This window comes from Homo sapiens, chromosome X, assembly GCF_000001405.40.
Source record: "Homo sapiens chromosome X, GRCh38.p14 Primary Assembly".
Classification (NCBI taxonomy): domain Eukaryota; kingdom Metazoa; phylum Chordata; class Mammalia; order Primates; family Hominidae; genus Homo; species Homo sapiens.
The window spans coordinates 118974409-118991259 of NC_000023.11; the positions used below are offsets into that span (position 1 = coordinate 118974409).

The 16851-nt window shown below is 49.7% G+C and overlaps 1 protein-coding gene across 10 annotated transcripts in view; it reads left to right on the forward strand.

Annotated features, from left to right (window-relative positions):
- LONRF3 (LON peptidase N-terminal domain and ring finger 3) overlaps positions 206-16851 on the forward strand; it is a 43742-nt gene continuing 27096 nt past the window's right edge. For 4 of the 10 annotated variants that reach the window (XM_005262476.3, XM_047442517.1, XM_011531398.3 and 1 more), the window contains exons 1-6: positions 206-1189; positions 3937-4055; positions 8413-8535; positions 12517-12672; positions 15000-15264; positions 16062-16152. In XM_005262476.3, coding sequence (XP_005262533.1) covers positions 373-1189; positions 3937-4055; positions 8413-8535; positions 12517-12672; positions 15000-15264; positions 16062-16152 — 1571 coding nt within the window. In that variant the 5' untranslated portion in view covers positions 206-372. Of the gene's footprint in view, positions 1190-1923; positions 2538-3936; positions 4056-8412; positions 8536-12516; positions 12673-14999; positions 15265-16061; positions 16153-16851 lie in introns of those variants that run through there. The other 6 variants (NM_024778.5, XM_017029845.1, XM_047442519.1 and 3 more) reach the window with 4 other exon arrangements.

Here is a 16851-nt window from a genome sequence, read left to right on the forward strand (position 1 = left end):
GAACCAGGTGGTGAGGAGGAATAAGGCGAAGTGTAAACACAAACAACCTCAAAAAGAAGCCAAGAAAAGCGAAGCCCAAAGAAGCAAGAGCAACACTGTTACAAAACTGTCTGGTTTTGTAACAATTTCCCCGCCGCCGGCCAATGAACAGCGTGGCGGCACGTCACGTGGTACCGTTTTATATAACACTTTGCTGAGACAAGACAGTTATTAGGCGGCGCGGGGCGGCCGGCATGGAGCTCCCGGAGGCGCGGCAGGGTCAGGAGCTCGGTGGCATGGCGGCGGTGGCTGCCCCGATTTCCTCCAGCTGCCACTCCTTGCTTCGTGTCCCCGGTCCCTAGACGCCTCGTCTCCTCCCGTGTCCCTCTTCCCATGGAGTCAGTACGGATCGAACAGATGCTGAGCTTGCCCGCTGAGGTCAGCAGCGACAACTTGGAGTCGGCGGAGCGAGGGGCATCAGCGGCCCAAGTAGACATGGGCCCCCACCCAAAGGTGGCTGCAGAGGGCCCCGCACCTCTACCGACGCGGGAGCCAGAGCAAGAGCAGTCTCCGGGGACCTCAACGCCGGAGAGCAAAGTCCTGCTCACGCAGGCAGACGCCTTGGCGTCCCGGGGGCGAATCCGTGAAGCCCTCGAGGTGTATAGACAGCTCTCCGAGCGGCAGCAGCTGGTGGCTGAGCAGCTGGAGCAGCTGGTGCGCTGCCTGGCGGAGAAAGTCCCGCAAGGCGAGGCGCTGGCGCCGGCGCCCCCGGACGAGGGTAGCACTGCAAGCGGCACCGTGGCGGCGGAAGAGACGGGGGCCGCCGCGGCTGCGGCGGCCACCGAGGTGTGGGACGGCTTTAAGTGCCGGAAATGTCATGGGTTTCTATCAGACCCCGTGTCCTTGTCGTGTGGCCACACCTTTTGTAAACTGTGCCTGGAACGTGGGCGGGCCGCCGACCGGCGCTGTGCGCTGTGCGGGGTCAAGCTCTCCGCCTTGATGGTGGCCACTGGGCGGGCGCGTGGAGCCCGGCGGGCTGGGCAGCAGCCGCCGCCGCCGCTGCGAGTCAACGTGGTGCTCAGCGGCCTCCTCGGCAAGTTGTTTCCAGGCCCAGCGCGAGCGTCGCAACTCCGGCACGAGGGCAACCGACTGTACCGCGAGCGCCAGGTGGAGGCGGCACTGCTCAAGTACAACGAGGCAGTTAAGTTGGGTGAGTCCAACGCGCTGCCGGGCCGGGGCTGGGGCTCGGTGGCTACATGAGGGAGCGGGAGAACAAACCCCGCAGCGAGAAGGGATTTGGACCAGGGCAGAAGAGGGGGCGGGGGACCCATGGACTGTGGCGGGGTGGGGGAGGGGTGATTCTGGGGCTGGGTCTCTGAGTTTGTTCTGTTTTCACTGCTTATCTGTGTTTCACTGTGTTTGTGTTGATCTCGGTTGCTTTTTGTCTTTTCCTGCTACTTCTGTTAGCTTTTGTGTTCCTGTCTCTCAGTCCCCGTTCCTGTCTGTGTCTCCTTGCTTCTGGTTCTTTTTCTCCGTCTCTTCGTATCTTTGTCACTGTTTCTTTCTTTTTCGGTGTCACTGTCTCTGTTCCTCTGACTCTCCTTCTCCCGCTGCACTCCTGGTCTCCTCTTACACCTGCTCGCACCTTCCCAGCGAGGAGAGGAACTTCGCGCGCTCCTCGCACTTGCGCCCGGTCCTCTGGGCTGTAGCCAGCAGGAGATGTCCGGTCGGCGCCTGCGTCCGCCGCTCGCGCCGCCGGGTGTTGCCCCTTCCGGGGCCGCGGCTCCCTGTGGGGTGGGTCCGGCATGGAATTAGGTCAGGAGAGCACTGGTTGCATAAGGGCCGCGAGCGGCCCGGGTCGGGCGCCCCTCCCCCGCGCGAGCGGGCGGGATTGTGTAACCGCTGAGGTAACTGAAGTGGGCCACCACGCTCGCTTCGGAAACCATCCCACGAGCATGTGCGGGGGGAGGGGGAGCGCTTGCGCCCCGCTGCCCTGTGACTCATTGTCACCGCTTCCTATCACACGATCCTCGGCTGAAATAGATGCCCCCCCTTGCCCGCCCCGCCAACCCGTAGCCTGTGCCCTCGCCTCCAACCCCTTTAACCTGGCCAGCCCGGCGGGAGGCCGGCGCGGCAACTGCTTGGGGATCCCTGGGGACCGTGGGCTGGCTACGAATGGGTCACGCCTCTGTCCCGCTTTTCAGTGCCGCCTGGGAGGGTTGGGTGGGCTTTGCAGCTTCAAGGGTAACGTGGGCAGTCCCCCATCTCCAGCTAGACTAGGGCACCCGAATTTCCCCAGGGAGCCGCTCTCTGACCCACCACGCCTGGACCCAGGAAGTGGCTGCTGAGCCGCCAGCCGGTGTTGCCCAGCTCTGGCAGTTTGCCAGGAGCTCGGCCGTGGGGCGCGGTGTCTGGCGAAGCATGCCGGGGAGGAGGCAGCAGGGCTGGGCAGGCAGGGCCCTGGGATCCGAGGGTGTCCTGGACCTGACTCTGTGGAGTGGAGGAGGGGTGTGGGCCGGAGTCTCCACGTGTTTAATCTCCACTCAAGCTTGCAACAGGTAATGGGGGGAGGAGGAGGAGGAATGAGGACTGAAGGGGCAAGGCTGGCAGCCGGAGAAGGGGACCCTTCTAGCTCCTGTCTGTGCACAAGCAAGGCAGACTGTGAGCTGCCACCAGGCTGGAGTGTGCTGCAGAAGAAAAAAGACAGAAAAGACTAAACAATTTGCTAATGTCTTAAGAGCAAGTAATGGGCACGCAAGCAAGCCCTGAGCACACCCCTGGGGAAAAAAAAAACATCAAAGCCTGTTGCCACAGAGGAAGCTAGATCCCAGATCTTGGGGAAGAGCAGGGCAATATGAATGAGGCAGGTGGAGGTCACTTAACTCTAGATCTCTAAGGCAGATTCCATACCTTTTAGCCATCCCCCAGGGGCCAGGAAAGCCCCTTCCTGCCCTCACCCTTCTCCTCTGTTGCCACCACATTCCCCTGGAAGTTCTTCCTTGCATCTTTGTTAATCCCCTCAGAGAAGTCAGGGTGAAAATGTCAAGGCCAGCTTTACCCTTCTAAGAGGAAAGGAGGCTCTCTGTTCTGGAAGATGGCCATTGTGTCCGTATTATTCCAAGTACTGCACACACCTTCAGAAAAAGGAACCTGCTCCCCACATCCCAGCTTCAAAGCTTCAAAGTCTGACCAGTTATCAGTGACTGCCCAGCTAGCCGTGTGACCTTGAGAAAATGCCTTCCCTTCTCTGGGCTTGATTTTCCCATCTGAAGAATGGGTTGATTGAGCCAGATAATCTCTAATAGCCTGTCCAGCTCTGACATCTAGTAATTCAGAGTTTTTGGTGAGAGCCGGCCTCACCTTATTCCCAGAAACCTTGTCCAAGTTCATTTACATTTGGCCATTTGAAATGAGAGGATGGGACCATGTAAATGTATTTCCATTTTCTTCAAGAAATCTTCATATGTGCTGGGCTTTGTAGACAAAGGTGTTACTAATGTCATCAGTCATTCCCACCTGGAAAAGTAACTTGGATTTGTCTTCTTGGTGGTTCAGATAGGGGTCACATCTGCCCACCTCTCTCTCCTTCCTACCTGGCCTGTTTTCTTGTTGGTAATACTGCACTCATAAACCAGGCTGCCGGACACTAGCCGTGTGTAGCCACATCTCGCCTATGTCAAAGTGTCTAATGCACCACTGACACCACGGGGCCTCTAATGAACCACTTGTGAGCGGGGGCAAAAATGACTTTGCAGTTGGGGAACCTCAGGCCCAGAGTGGCTGGGGGTATAGAAGGCAGGACAATATTAGGACTAGAAATAGAGCCTAACCCTTTTGATCTCCAGTAGAAAAGTCCTAGAAAACTTATCATTTGCTCAAGATCCATACTCATACAGGACTTAACACCTGCTTGCGCTGGGGGCCATTAATAAAGGTTTTTCTTTCTTATTTTGACAGCTCCAAATGACCACTTGCTTTATAGCAATCGGTCTCAGATTTATTTCACCTTGGAGTCTCATGAGAATGCACTGCATGATGCAGAAATAGCATGTAAGCTCCGCCCGATGGGTTTTAAGGTGAGTGTGGGATGGAAGAGGTGGGAAGGGGTTGTACTGTAGACAGGTATTGGCAGGAAGGGCTGCCTCCCTGGAGCATAGGGGCACTAGAGCTCAAGCAGAACAGGAAGAAGACTTTGCAAAGGAGCCAGGGTAAAGATCCCTGGGCAAAGAGTGACTCAGGTCTGCAAGGGAGCTGGATTCTTCCCCAATTCAGTCTTCAACTCATGACCTTCAGAGCAGCCTGGGCATAGTGACTCTCTAGAATATGCACTTGGGAGCCAGACTGCCTGGGTTTATGTCCCAACTCTGCTAACTTTTATGACCTTTGTGGCCCTGGGCAAATGACTTAACTTCCCAGTACTTCATCTCCTCATCTGTTAAATGGGGGATATTCAAAGCAGCTACTAAAGAGGGCTGTTGTGAGGATTACATAAGCTAATAATGTAAGGTACTTAGAACAGTGTCTGGCATGTAGCACTATATAAACGTTCTCTTTCTTCCCTTCCTTCCTTCCTTCCTTCCTTTCTCTCTCTCTCTCTTTCTGTTTTCTTTCTTTTTTTTTTTTTTTTTTTTGAGACAGAGTTTCCCTCTCGCACCCAGGCTGGAGTGCAGTGGCGCAATCTCGGCTCACTGCAACCTCCGCCTCCTGGGTTCACGCCATTCTCCTGCCTCAGCCTCCTGAGTAGTTGGGACTACAGGCGCCCGCCACCACACCTGGCTAATTTTTTGTATTTTTTTTTGTAGAGACAGGTTTTCACCGTGTTAGCCAGGATGGTCTCGATCTCCTGACCTCATGATCCGCCCGCCTTGGCCTCCCAAAGTGCTGGGATTACAGGCGTGAGCCACCGCGCTGGCTTTTTTTTTTTGAGACGGAGTCTCACTCTGCCACTCACACTGGAGTGCAGTGGCGTGATCTCAGCTCACTGCAACCTCCGTCTCCCAGGTTCAAGTGAGTCTCCCACCTTAGCCTCCCGAGTAGCTGGGATCACAGGCGTGTGCCACCATGCCCGGCTAATTTTTTGTATTTTTAGTAGTGACGGGGTTTTGCCATGTTGGCTGGTCTCAAACTCCTGGCCTCAAGCAATCCACTTGCCTCAGTCTCCCAAAATGCTGGGATTACAGGTGTGAGCCACCGTGTCCAGCCTATATAAATGTTTTCTATCGCCATTTTTATCATTTTCCAGGGACATTAGAAAGAGGAAGGTGAGAGTGGTGTTGCTGCCCTGGTGCTCCTGAACCTCTACTGATAGGCTCCTTGGCAGCTTGGCCAGTTTTCTCTGAAGGGATCCTCACACTCACACAATGGTTGTGCCATTTCAAGTCCTTAATATAGTCAGTCAGCCTGCCAGTATCCCCAAGGATTTAGGTCACATGGGGGGTGAGAAGAAAAACGGCCTGGACACCTCTCAGGATGCCAGGATGCAAAGTGTCACTTTCTGTATCTTTGCCTGGCTTCAGGACTGGCCCTCAGCCACATGTCAGTACTTTGTTTAGAAGATTAGATTTGAGCCTGTGCTCTACTACTTGCAAACCATGGGGAGGTGGCTTCACTCTCTGAACCCCAAGTATCCTTGTTTGCAAAATGAAGCTATTGATATCTGCCCTGATTGCCTCGCAATGATGCAATGAGGGTCAAAAGTGAACGTGGCCAAGAGGACATTCTGCAAGCTATAAAGCTTCCTGGATGTAGTGCTCTGTCTCTACACAACCCAAGGATGCCTTCCTCAGAAAACCAATGTATCCAAGTTCAAGTCCATGATCCCTTATCTGAATCTTGTAAGACCAGAGGTGTTCAGAATCCAGAATGTTTTATATTTTGCAAGGACCATATATTAGGTCTCAGTGAGCTCTGGACAGCTTCCTGTAATCCAACACACTATTCAGCAGATTCCATGAAAATTCACACTCAGTGGGACAAATATTTTTAAACACTTTATATCAGTTTAGGTCAGGTTTTGCCATCTAATGAATTTTGATGTCAAGCTTATGAAAATAATGGATTATCAGAACTTTTTTGGATCTGGAAACCAGATAAAGCATGTGGACCTGTGTACTGTGCAATGAATGTCAGGTGAATCTTGTATGTTCTTTCTTGAGAAGGTTTTCATGAGTGATGATGGATTCATTTTTTTTTCTGAGAAGGTTTTCTTGAGTAATGATGGATTAGTATGGTTTTTTTTCCCCAAAGAACACATTTAGTGTTTAATACAAGTCACCAGTGTCTTAACCCAAAGGAGCTTTAGTGGGGGCACTTTCAGCCTCCCAGTAGTGCAAGTCAGGGAGCTGCCTAGGAGTAAGAGGACTTGCAACTCTTTCCACCTCCACCCTAAGCCTAGATCCTAGGGCTAAGGAACTTGATAGTGTGGTGAGAAGCAGAGCTGAGAAGCAGTGAAGCATTTTGGATGAAATGGGAAAAGTGACTTCTCCAGTGAAGGAAGAGTTGATGAAAGTATTAAATAGGAGTTTCATTTCCCCATAGTGATGAAGTGAGAGGTGGGGGCAGTGATGAGATAATTTATTTTCTTGGAGGTTAAGAGAAGACGAACTGATGCCTATAATTCAAAACCACCTCCCACCCTGATTTGCATATTTCCCAACATTTCTATGTAAAATGCCCCAAGTGTAGGGGTTTATCTGGCAGCCCTATTCTCTATTCCAGCCATCCAACCAGAGTGTGTGGTACTCAGCACATCCTGCAGGTGATACAGCTCTCAGTGGTGTGAGCTGGTTGCCCTGAGCAGGTAGAGTATATGGGTTGGCCGGGCATGGTGGCTTACTCCTGTAATCCCAGCACTTTGGGAGGCTGAGGCAGGTGGATAACTTGAGGTTAGGAGTTTGAGACCAGCCTGGCCAACATGGTGAAACCCCATCTCTACTAAAAATACAAAACTTAGCCAGGCATGGTGACGCATGCCTGTAGTCCCAGCTACTCAGGAGGCTGAGGCCGGAGAATCGCTTGAACCTAGGAGGTGGAGGTTGTAGTGAGCCGAGATCCACCACTGCACTCCAGCCTGGGTGACAGAGCAAGATTCTATCTCAAAAAAAAAAAAAAAAGAGTATATGGATTGCTACTTGATAATATGATTAGTGGGATCACACAGAGGCCTTTCCAGTCTCCCAACACTTCTCCCCTCTAGCTGCCCTGTGATATCATGCAAGCCTTTCCCAAACACCCTTGGTAAACACTGCTGGGAGAAGCAACAAGGGAGGCCATCAACATCCATGTATCAGCCAAGACAAGGCTTCAGAAGGAGCTGGGGGAATGCGGAAAGGTCTTCAAGAGGTTTGGAGCAGGGGCCACTGCTCAAGAAGGCAGCTTCAGGGCAGCCTCTGCAGCGAGGCCATAGCCTGAGGGCTCTGGGGCCTGCAAAGAGGCATGTTAGAAAGGGGGGCAGGGGAGTATCCAGCAGCCACAACCTGGATCACTTCATTCACTAAGTTAGGCTTAGTACTGCCAATGGAGGAGGCAAGGGAGCAGGCCACTGGGTGGAGGGACGTCCTAGATGACTCAAGTGAAATGCTCTTCAAGCCAAGTTGCTAGTGTCCACCTGTCTCAAGACACACACAGAGGGCAGCCCTCTCCCCCGCTACTCTTTTTTCTTCCTTCTTCCCCAGGATGTTCCTCTGCCCTCCCTAGAGTGTCTTTCCCAGAGCAGTTGGGCTTGGGCCCTGAGGAGCCATAAACTTCTTTATACTTTCTAAAGTATGTGGTGAGGGAGCAGAAGTGATCCAGGCCCCTAGGAGAGTAAGCTCAGCCCCTGGTTAGCCCTCTGAAGGGCAGTCTGCTTTGTGGAGAAGAGCATTCTGGGAGTCCTGAGACTGCAGTTCTAGTTCCAGCTTTGCCACTAGCGACCTTTGAGGTCTTGGAGAGGTCAGATCCCTTCTCCTGGGCCTCTTCTGAAAACTGATCAGTTAGTGTAGGTGCTCTTTCAAGCCACTACTGAGGACTGGTTCTCTGCTTGAGAGACTAGTTCAAACGAACGCATACCTGGGCAGGCCCTGAAAGCTGGTTAGCATGTGGTCAAATGGGGGTTCTTGCTACATTTGATGGTCACTCCGTACAATGGTGGGGCAGAGACAAGGTAGTATGGCAGAGTGGTTAAGAATACAGGCTTTGGTATCAGTCAGTCCCAGGTTCAAACCCTGATTCCACAATTTACCAGCTGTGTTACACTGGGCAAGTTAACGTTTTTGGGTTTCAGTTTTGTCTTCTTTATAATGGCATTAGAACAGTTGCCCGCATTTTAGGGCTGTAGATAAGAGAGTCCTTTTAAAATGTTTCACACAACAGTGAGTGCTGTGGGTTAGTTATTGTTAGAGCAGTAGTGTTAATAGGCTGAATAAAATGGGATTGAATGCTAATGTTTCCTTCCAGGCACATTTCAGAAAAGCCCAAGCCTTAGCCACCCTAGGCAAGGTGGAGGAGGCACTAAGGGAGTTTCTCTACTGTGTATCCCTTGATGGAAAGAACAAGAGAGCAAGATGTGAAGCCCAAAGAGTGAGTTGAAATGACATCAGGTCCAGCTGCCTACTGGACCCTCCCCTCTCTGTCTTATCTAGGAAGGGGAGTGAGGGTGCTGTCCTCCTTGGCATTTGGGGTCCTGAGTGGGTGGTTCCCTGGGTTAAGGGGACAAAAGGGAGATGGGAGTGTTAATTGATTGCCCAGAAACACCGTCCTTCTGGTGTGTACGATCAGTTTGGGCAGTTTCTACATTTTTGTAGGAGCCTGTGAGGAATGTTCTTGCTTCTTTGACTCAGGGTCTGGATTGTCAGTGGGAGAAAAACCAAAATCAAGTACATTAATATGGGGATTGAGGCTCACTGAGGACATTCTGGCTGTTGATGAGAGATCCAGGGCATGGGGCTACCTGCTGTTACATAACTTTTCTTTGGCTGAATCACAGTTTTCACCAGCCACACATGACAGCCAGCCCCTGGGAAGGGACGTTGGTGGTCCCCACCTCCCCTATCACCATACACAGAACTCCAACCTTCAGCTCCTTTGCTAGAAATAAAACACACTGCCTCACAAATGCTAGTCAGAGACCATTACAATATAATGCAAGCAGTCGTTCCAACTCTTGGGTCCCAGCAGAATGTGGTAGTTATAAAAGAAAAATGGTGTGAAATACTGAGAGCATTAGTGAAGGCTCAGCCATCTTCAATTCATGGACTTTGTTGCTTATTGTTCTACAGTTTACTCTGCTGGTGTCTGGGTAATCGGCCTGTAAGTTGGATTCTGACAGTTGGCGGTTGTCTCTGCTCTCCTTGTGCCCCACCCACTATTCACCGCGGAGCCTTACGGTTTCTGTCCCAGTGTGGTTTGGCAGAGCAGTGGATAAAGAAAGTGAGCAAGAGACAGAACTGGTTTCTGAAGGCTCTAGAAAGGAATAGTTAGCAAAATCAATGAAATAAGGGAACTGGCCCTGGATTTTCTGTCTCACAAAAGATCTCCTTTCTGGGAAGTTGCTTTGAATTGGTTTGAGTATGTGAAAAAGGTGTGCTTGAGAGGAGCACGGTTCGGGGAGAATTGCTTCAAGCTGTGGACCCTTCTCCAAATCTTAAGTGTAGTCCATGATGTAATGATAATAATAATAGCTAACATTCGTTGAGAATTTCTTCTGCATTATACACTGTGCTAGGCATTTTATGTGGAGTATATTATTTAAATCCCACTACATTCCTGAGGCTAGGTTTGGTTAGTTATCCTCAGGTTACAGGTGAGACAGATGAAGCTGGGGCTTGCTGACTTTCCCAAGGTCATGCAGCTGGTGATTGGTGGGAAAGTATTCAAACCCAAGTCTATCTGCTTCCAAAGCCTGGCCTCTTAGCTGCTCTGCCATCCTGCTTCCCATGAGGACATGGCCACAGCCTTAGCACTCACTGGTGAAGCTGGATCAATAGTAGCAATGGAACTTTCCAGTTCCAGGATGAACAAAGGCAGTTAGAAGAAACTTATCTTTGGGGACGGAGCGTGCAAAGGCCAGCAGAGGCAGGTCTCAGACCCAAGGAGGAATGGTTTCTTGACTCTTGTTTGTCCATTTCCCAGCTAGCCTGAGATGTTTTTGGTGTCATCAGTTGGGCTGACCTGTCTCTCCAGTCTGCTTTTATAGAGAAACTGTTGTCATTTCCACAGCTGCCTAATGGTTGGAGGCAAGGCATTGTGTGAAGCTCTGGAGACCCAAAGAGGCATAAGTCACAGTTTTAGTCTTCAAGGAACTTAACAATCTTGCATTTGTTAACATAAATGCCAGATGATGCAAGCGAGTGTATGCCCGTGATGAGTGTTACAGAGTTCTGAAGTGAGGGCGAGAATTTAGAGGCGAATTTCCACTGGGTGTGATGAGGCCATGGCGGCGATTCAGAACATCAAGAGTCCTCAGTTGTGTTTATTTACTAGATCATTCCAGTTTCAGGGCTAAAGATTTGACAGAGATGATGCAGGTTCAGTTGACATTTATAAGCTGCCTTCGAACTCACAGGCTGTGTTTCTTTTTAATGTTTGTTTTTACTGCAGATTCTTTTTCCCTCTTCTTGACCTATTTGGGCCTTTCTAAGGCTGAGGCTGAAGTGGAATTGACTTTCATTCATGTGGAATGATCATTCTCACTGAGAATTGACCCCAACTTTTGTTTTCCAATGCCATTGAGAAGGCCTAGAGAGAGATCTCAAGTAGTAAAATGAAGAAGGGAACTGCTGTTATTATTTCTGCTTTGTTTCCTTTGATTTCTCCCTTGGCCTTCTTTTCCTTCCCACCACCCTCTGCCCTTTCATCCTTGCACCTTGTGATGCTGTGTGGCTGCCACTGAAGAGTATTATGCTCTTTTTGGGAGAATTCCAAGGATACTGCCTCCTCAGAACTGGCTTGGTCCTGTTGAGTCACGCATTAGGGCTTCAGAGGACCAACCTTGGCTCCTGTGGAGGAGGGACCTCTGAAAGCTGGCATTTATGGCCCCGGGTGCTGTGAGTACCTCCCCATTTAACTCCTGTGCCAACTCATAACTGGAAAGTGGGTTTCTCAGAGCTGAAAGGAAACATAAGGATCAATCTGAGGACTTTGGGCCTGAATGCTAGGCCTCTCCCTGGGCCCTGGGGTGGATAAGTGTCTTAATTCAATTCCATCCAGTGTGATGAGCATTTATTGGGTATCTGTTATGTGCCCTCTAGAAGCTGGCCGTCTGGCAGGAGAGAAAGGCTTACATCTGTGACACATTTCTAGGATAACATAACGTGGTGTTGTTCAAGATGCTATATTATGGTGCACTCTCTACTACTGTGTAGAACAGGACTGGAATAGTGAGGGAAGGTAGCACTTGAGCTGAGCTTTGAAGGCTGAGTGGGGTTTGGCTTCATGGCAAGTGCTGGCATCTGAAGGAACATCATGAAGAGATTGCTGGGGGCCAGAGAATAAATCAAACTGGAGTTTGGTGTTCTGTCAAATTTTGTTGATCAATTAATACCCTAACTATGTACCCTCAGCACGGGACTGGAGCTTCCTTTAGTGGATCTCCAAACACTGCAGGAGCTGCTGGGTGGTAAGCACTGGAGCAGGTTTTAGAAGCAAAGTCACCTGCTCTCCTTGTGTTACATGTTTCAGTATATGGAAACACACACACACACACACACACACACACACACACACACACACACACACACAATCCTTGCTAGTACAGGGGAAACTTGGGGCAAGAATGTGGACAGTGAATGGTGCAAGCTACATTAGAACGCACGTCTACCCTCCCAGCTTATCCAATTGCAAGGGAAACCAGCAAGAGACTGGAACCTCCTTGCGCCTAGTACTTAAACTTAACCTAACATCCTCTGGGAGGCAAAGGCCAGCATAGGGGAGGCGAGGTTGGGAGAAGAGGGAGGAAGCTGGAGTTCTGTTTTTCCTAACAGTTAACTGCTCAGGTTCCCAGCTTTGAAGGGATTAAAGATCCAGGGGTGATGGTGGGGAGAGGAGGAAGCAAAATGGGTAGTGGAGAAAAGAAACAGTGAGGATCCTAGAAGACATTTGTAGACTTCTACCCACTGAGGTATTATGAACTTCAAATTCCCCAAGTGAGGTTTCTCTCCTGACTTTACCTCTCTGTCTCTTTCCTCCTAGATGAGTTTTAAAATCCCACTGCAGATATTTCTGCGGAGTGTTAGCACTAGCATGGTGGCTCTTAACCTTGGCTAGGCAACAGAGGCATCTGTAGTGCCTTCTCAAAATCCAGATTCCTGGGCCACACTCCAGACCTGGGGGAGATGGGAGTACAAAGTAGAGACCTAGATTTTTCATAAGTTCCCCAGTTGATTCTGATGCCCGCTGAAGCGAGGACCCCTGCCCTGGTGTGGTGTGTTAGGGACACTGGTCCAAGGCTTCCTCCCTGGAGTTCTGCCCTGCAAGCTGGCTCCCTCCCCCCTTCACCCTCCTCCCCTTCACCTGGGCACCTGTAGAAACTTAAGTAGTGAAGTCTTCTGTTTTATGTCACAGCTTCTCCTTAGTTTCTTTTCACCATCAGTCCCGGGGGATTCTCAGGAACATTCTCCCGATATCCTGAAGCTGTTGGCACCTCACCCTAGATTAAAGGAAAACGTAGAGTCAATGACTACTGAAGTTACCAGCCATAATCTACCAAGGTTGTTACAGGTAAAACTCAACTCACCCAGCTCGCTCGTGACGCTTCGTTTGGCTGTTTTGTGGGCAAACGTGGGGAGTGAGCCCTCCCTCTCCTATTTTGGTTCCTGAGAAAGAAGAAATTGAGTCACTAGTGGTTCTGTTCTTTGCAAAGAACCTCTTAAAGATGCAACTGTGAATTTCAGGCATGGTCCCAGAGTTTATTCATTACATTGAAAAAAAATTATGAAACAGGGTCTCTTTCTATCACCCAGGCTGGAGGGCAGTGATATGATCATGGCTCACTGCAGCCTCAGACTCCTGGTCTCAAGAGATCCTCCCACCTCAGCCTCCCGAGTAGCTGGGACTATAGGCACGTGCCACCATGCCTGGCTAAGTTTTTTTTTTTTTTTTTTTTTTTTTTTTGTAGAGACGGGGTTTCACCATTTTTGCCTAGGCTGGTCTCGAACTCCTGGCCTCAAGTGATCCTCCCACCTTGGCCTTCCAAAGTGCTAGGATACATTTTTTTCCAGTTCTTGGTTAGATCCAGCCGAGAGAGATTTTACAGAGCTAGAAAGGAATTGGCTCACTGCCCCTGGGCCATACCATTTGGGTGGGTTTATAGGCTTTGGGGATGAGTCTGGGAAGAGGGCCTAACAATCCCTCCTTTCGAGCTTTTGTTTGTTCAAGCTGCTGGCCTTTGAGTGCCAGCACTTATCCTGTGCAAAGACAACTCTGATCCTCAAATGGATGTAATTTCATATTCCTGCACTATGCCTTATACATAAGTAAGCTTCCAATACGTATTTGTAACAGAGAAGAGGAAAGAGATGTTGGAAAGAAAGTTGAGTTGAAGGACCTGGGAGGAAGACAGGTATTTGTACCTTTCTTTGAAAACCAGGAAACAGAACACAAGAGAGATGGGTTCCAGGCCCTGGCTTTCCCGGCAGAGGGTAAGTGGTCAGAAGTTGAGGATCAGAAGCGCAGACTCCAAGGCAGAGTTTAGCACTGAATGCCTGGGCATCTTTAGGGGGCAGTTTTCCCTCCATTCATGCCCGGTGTTCTTCTCCTGTGTGTAAGCCCTGGGCTCTCATAAAAGGACTGAAATGCAGGTGCGCCCAACTTTTCTTAAAAAATGGCAGAACTTAGAGGATCTCCTGAAATCACAGAACCCCCAGTGATTTCAATAATTAAGATCACTATTAAATGATTGAGAATGCTAATACTGAACCCAAATGCCTGGAGTGACTTCTAATTGCAGCTCCATCTGAAAAGAAGAAAAACAGCAACCTTGGCTTTCCAATGTCAACCAGCTGGGGAACAAGGATTGGATTTCCACCCAAACTTTGCTTTGCAAAGCAGTATACTCCTGAGTGGCCAATGCCTTGGGTTCATGGAAAGTCAAGGTTGTAGTATTGCTGTAGTGCTGGAGAAAACCCCAACTCCCAAGTTAGACACAGAGAAAACCCACATTATTTTTGTCCTCACCTCATTGTTTTCTCCCAGCTATATGCTCCCCTTTTTCACCTGTCTGCCAGTTTTTTTTTGGTAGGGTTAGAGGGAAACAACACGATGAGTATCTTGACCTATGGACTATGGGTTTAGATTAGAGAGGGGTTCTCCATGTAAATCTGCATAAACATGTTGTTATTGCACTTATTTCTAAATCCTTTTTCAAATATCCATCTCCTGGGAAAATATTCTTGAAAAGGCTAGAGACATTGTTGATTTTTTTTGCCAGGTGATTTTGTCTTTTTTTTTTTTTTTAATGCTTTTCACCCCAAATCTAGTAAAAGGAATAGTTTGTACCTTGTTCATTTGACCAGTGTAACATACAGACCTGGAGCATGAGGTAACTTGGCAGGCCTGTGAACAGACCTGTGCCAAAGCCCTACCAAAAGTCCTTTTGGAGCTGGAGTTTGGGGATCGCAGACGGCCGTGAATGGCAGTGAGGGCGAGAGGAACTATTGAGTGACAGGATCTGCCGTCACTGCCTGCCTTGGTTTTGCTAAAGTGGTTACTGGGGAAGGATTTTATAGGAAGGGGAACTGGTGCCTATCCCTGGCATTTCCCCTTTTTACACCTGCCCAAGGAGGCTCTCCTCCTACATACCTTCCTGTCCTTGCCTAAGGAAGTTCCCTAACTCCACCCAAGCTGGGAATGCCTTGGTTGCAGATACTGTGCAGAAAAGAAGTAGGAAATAATGCCTTATGACGGCCCCCAAGTTGAGCTCTGTGTCCACTATGAGTTCGGGGTGGGGATCAGGACTCTATAGTTTCCCTTTGTTCCTCTGGGTAGGAATATGAGAGGACAATATTAGTCCTAAGAAGATTCTGATATGTGGCCCTTTCTTCATCCAGGACAATCTGGAGCTCCCACATTGTTCTAGTCAGGAGGAAGCAGCAGCCAGGGGAGATGGCAGCAGTCTGATGGACCCAGCTAAAGTGAAGGGGGATGGTCAGCAGCACCACATGAAAGACCAGGAAGAAGAGGAGGAGAAGTGGGATGCTACCTCTCCAAAAGCTGCTTCCAGCAAGACTGGAAAATGCCAGGAAAAGAAAAGGAAACATTGCCAGATTGAATCCCAAGAAGAAACGGGGATGCCTAATAAAGCCTCCAAGCAAGGTACTGGCTCTACCCAGAGAGAAGGTAGCTTGGAGGAGATCCCCGGGCTCACCAATATATACAAGTTACTTACCTCTGTCTGGGGGCTCCTTAGGCTCTGGGTGTGGGGCCCAGCTCTGGCATTTACTAGCTGTGTGACCTCAGAGATTGCTATGAGGCTTCTGTGAGATCATGTACAGTGCCTAGCACACTGTAAAAAGTGTTCAATACTAATTATTAATATAATGGAAAGCCAAGGCATCAGGTCAAGCACAGTATCAACTAATGACATCCCATACCCATGGGGATGCCACTTCCTTCTAGGTCAGCCTCTTGCTACCCCCATCCCCATTCTAGGAATGCAGGATGAGGAAAGTGAGGTCAGGCCTCACCCTGCTCATTCCCAGTTGTGTTCCCATAGGTAGGCATGTGAGAAGCAGCAGCTGTGGCTTGCTATCTTTCCACGAGAGGTTGGCAGTGCCAAGATTCAGTTTTAGCTTTGAAGGCCTGGCTCAGTCCATTGAGTTGCTGTAGCTTCTGCTGTTGACAGAGGTGCATGTTGCATTTGAATGAAGTCCCCAGGGCTCCTGGACATTGTTTGACTTGCATTTCTCTTTCTGTTGGGCCTGCTGGAAACCTCTGAGAGCCTACTTCTGAGTGTCCCATTCTCAACGGCTCAGGTGTCCACTAAATCAACTCTCTGGGAGGTGGTGGTGAGAGTGGCAAACTGAAAAACGCATTGGATTATTTTGCCTCAGAAGTACTATCTATGAAACCGGGGTGGCTCCAGCGCTGACTTCTTGCTTTCTAAATCGCAGATCCTCCCACTGATCAGGGGGACAAACCTGCTCTCAGTTTACCACTTGCATCTTTCGACGCATCTGACCTTGAATGCGCTCTATGTATGAGGTACGTCCTGTGTACTATCATTTACTTCCTGATGTTTCTTCATCTCTGGTGTCTGGACCTTTCTGCTAGTGACCTACTGCTGGGTTGGTTAGCATGTAAAAAGCATAGCTCTAACGGAATGGAAATCACAACGTTGATTGTCACATGGGTCAGCTTGTGTCCCCTTCCCAGAGACTGCATTCCCTGCATTCCTGGCTCCTGACTTGGAAAAACCTGGAGAGTGGGAAGGGAACAGTCTATTCACAGGTCACAAACTGATGGCCCACTGGGCTGAATATGTCTGAATATGTCTTTTTTTTTTATGTCTTTTTTTTGGAGACAGAGTCTTGCTCTGTTGCCCAGGCTGGAGTGCAGTGGTGCGATTTCAGCTCACTGCAACCTCTGTCTCCCCAGTTCAAGCGATTCACGTGCCTCAGCCTCTTAAGTAGCTGGGATTACAGGCCTGTGCCACCACGCTTGGCTAAGTTTTGTATTTTTAGTAGAGACAGGGTTTCACAATGTTACCCAGGCTGGTCTCAAACTCCTGAGCTCAAGTGATCTGCCTGCCTGGGCCTCCCAAAGTCCTGGGATTACAGGCCACTGCACCCAGTCTGAATATGTCTTTTGTTTGGCCCTCATGGGGTTTGTTTTTCTTAAACGTGAATGTCTTGAGACAGGACATGTACTCTCCATTTGACCACGCCCCCGCCACCCACCTGC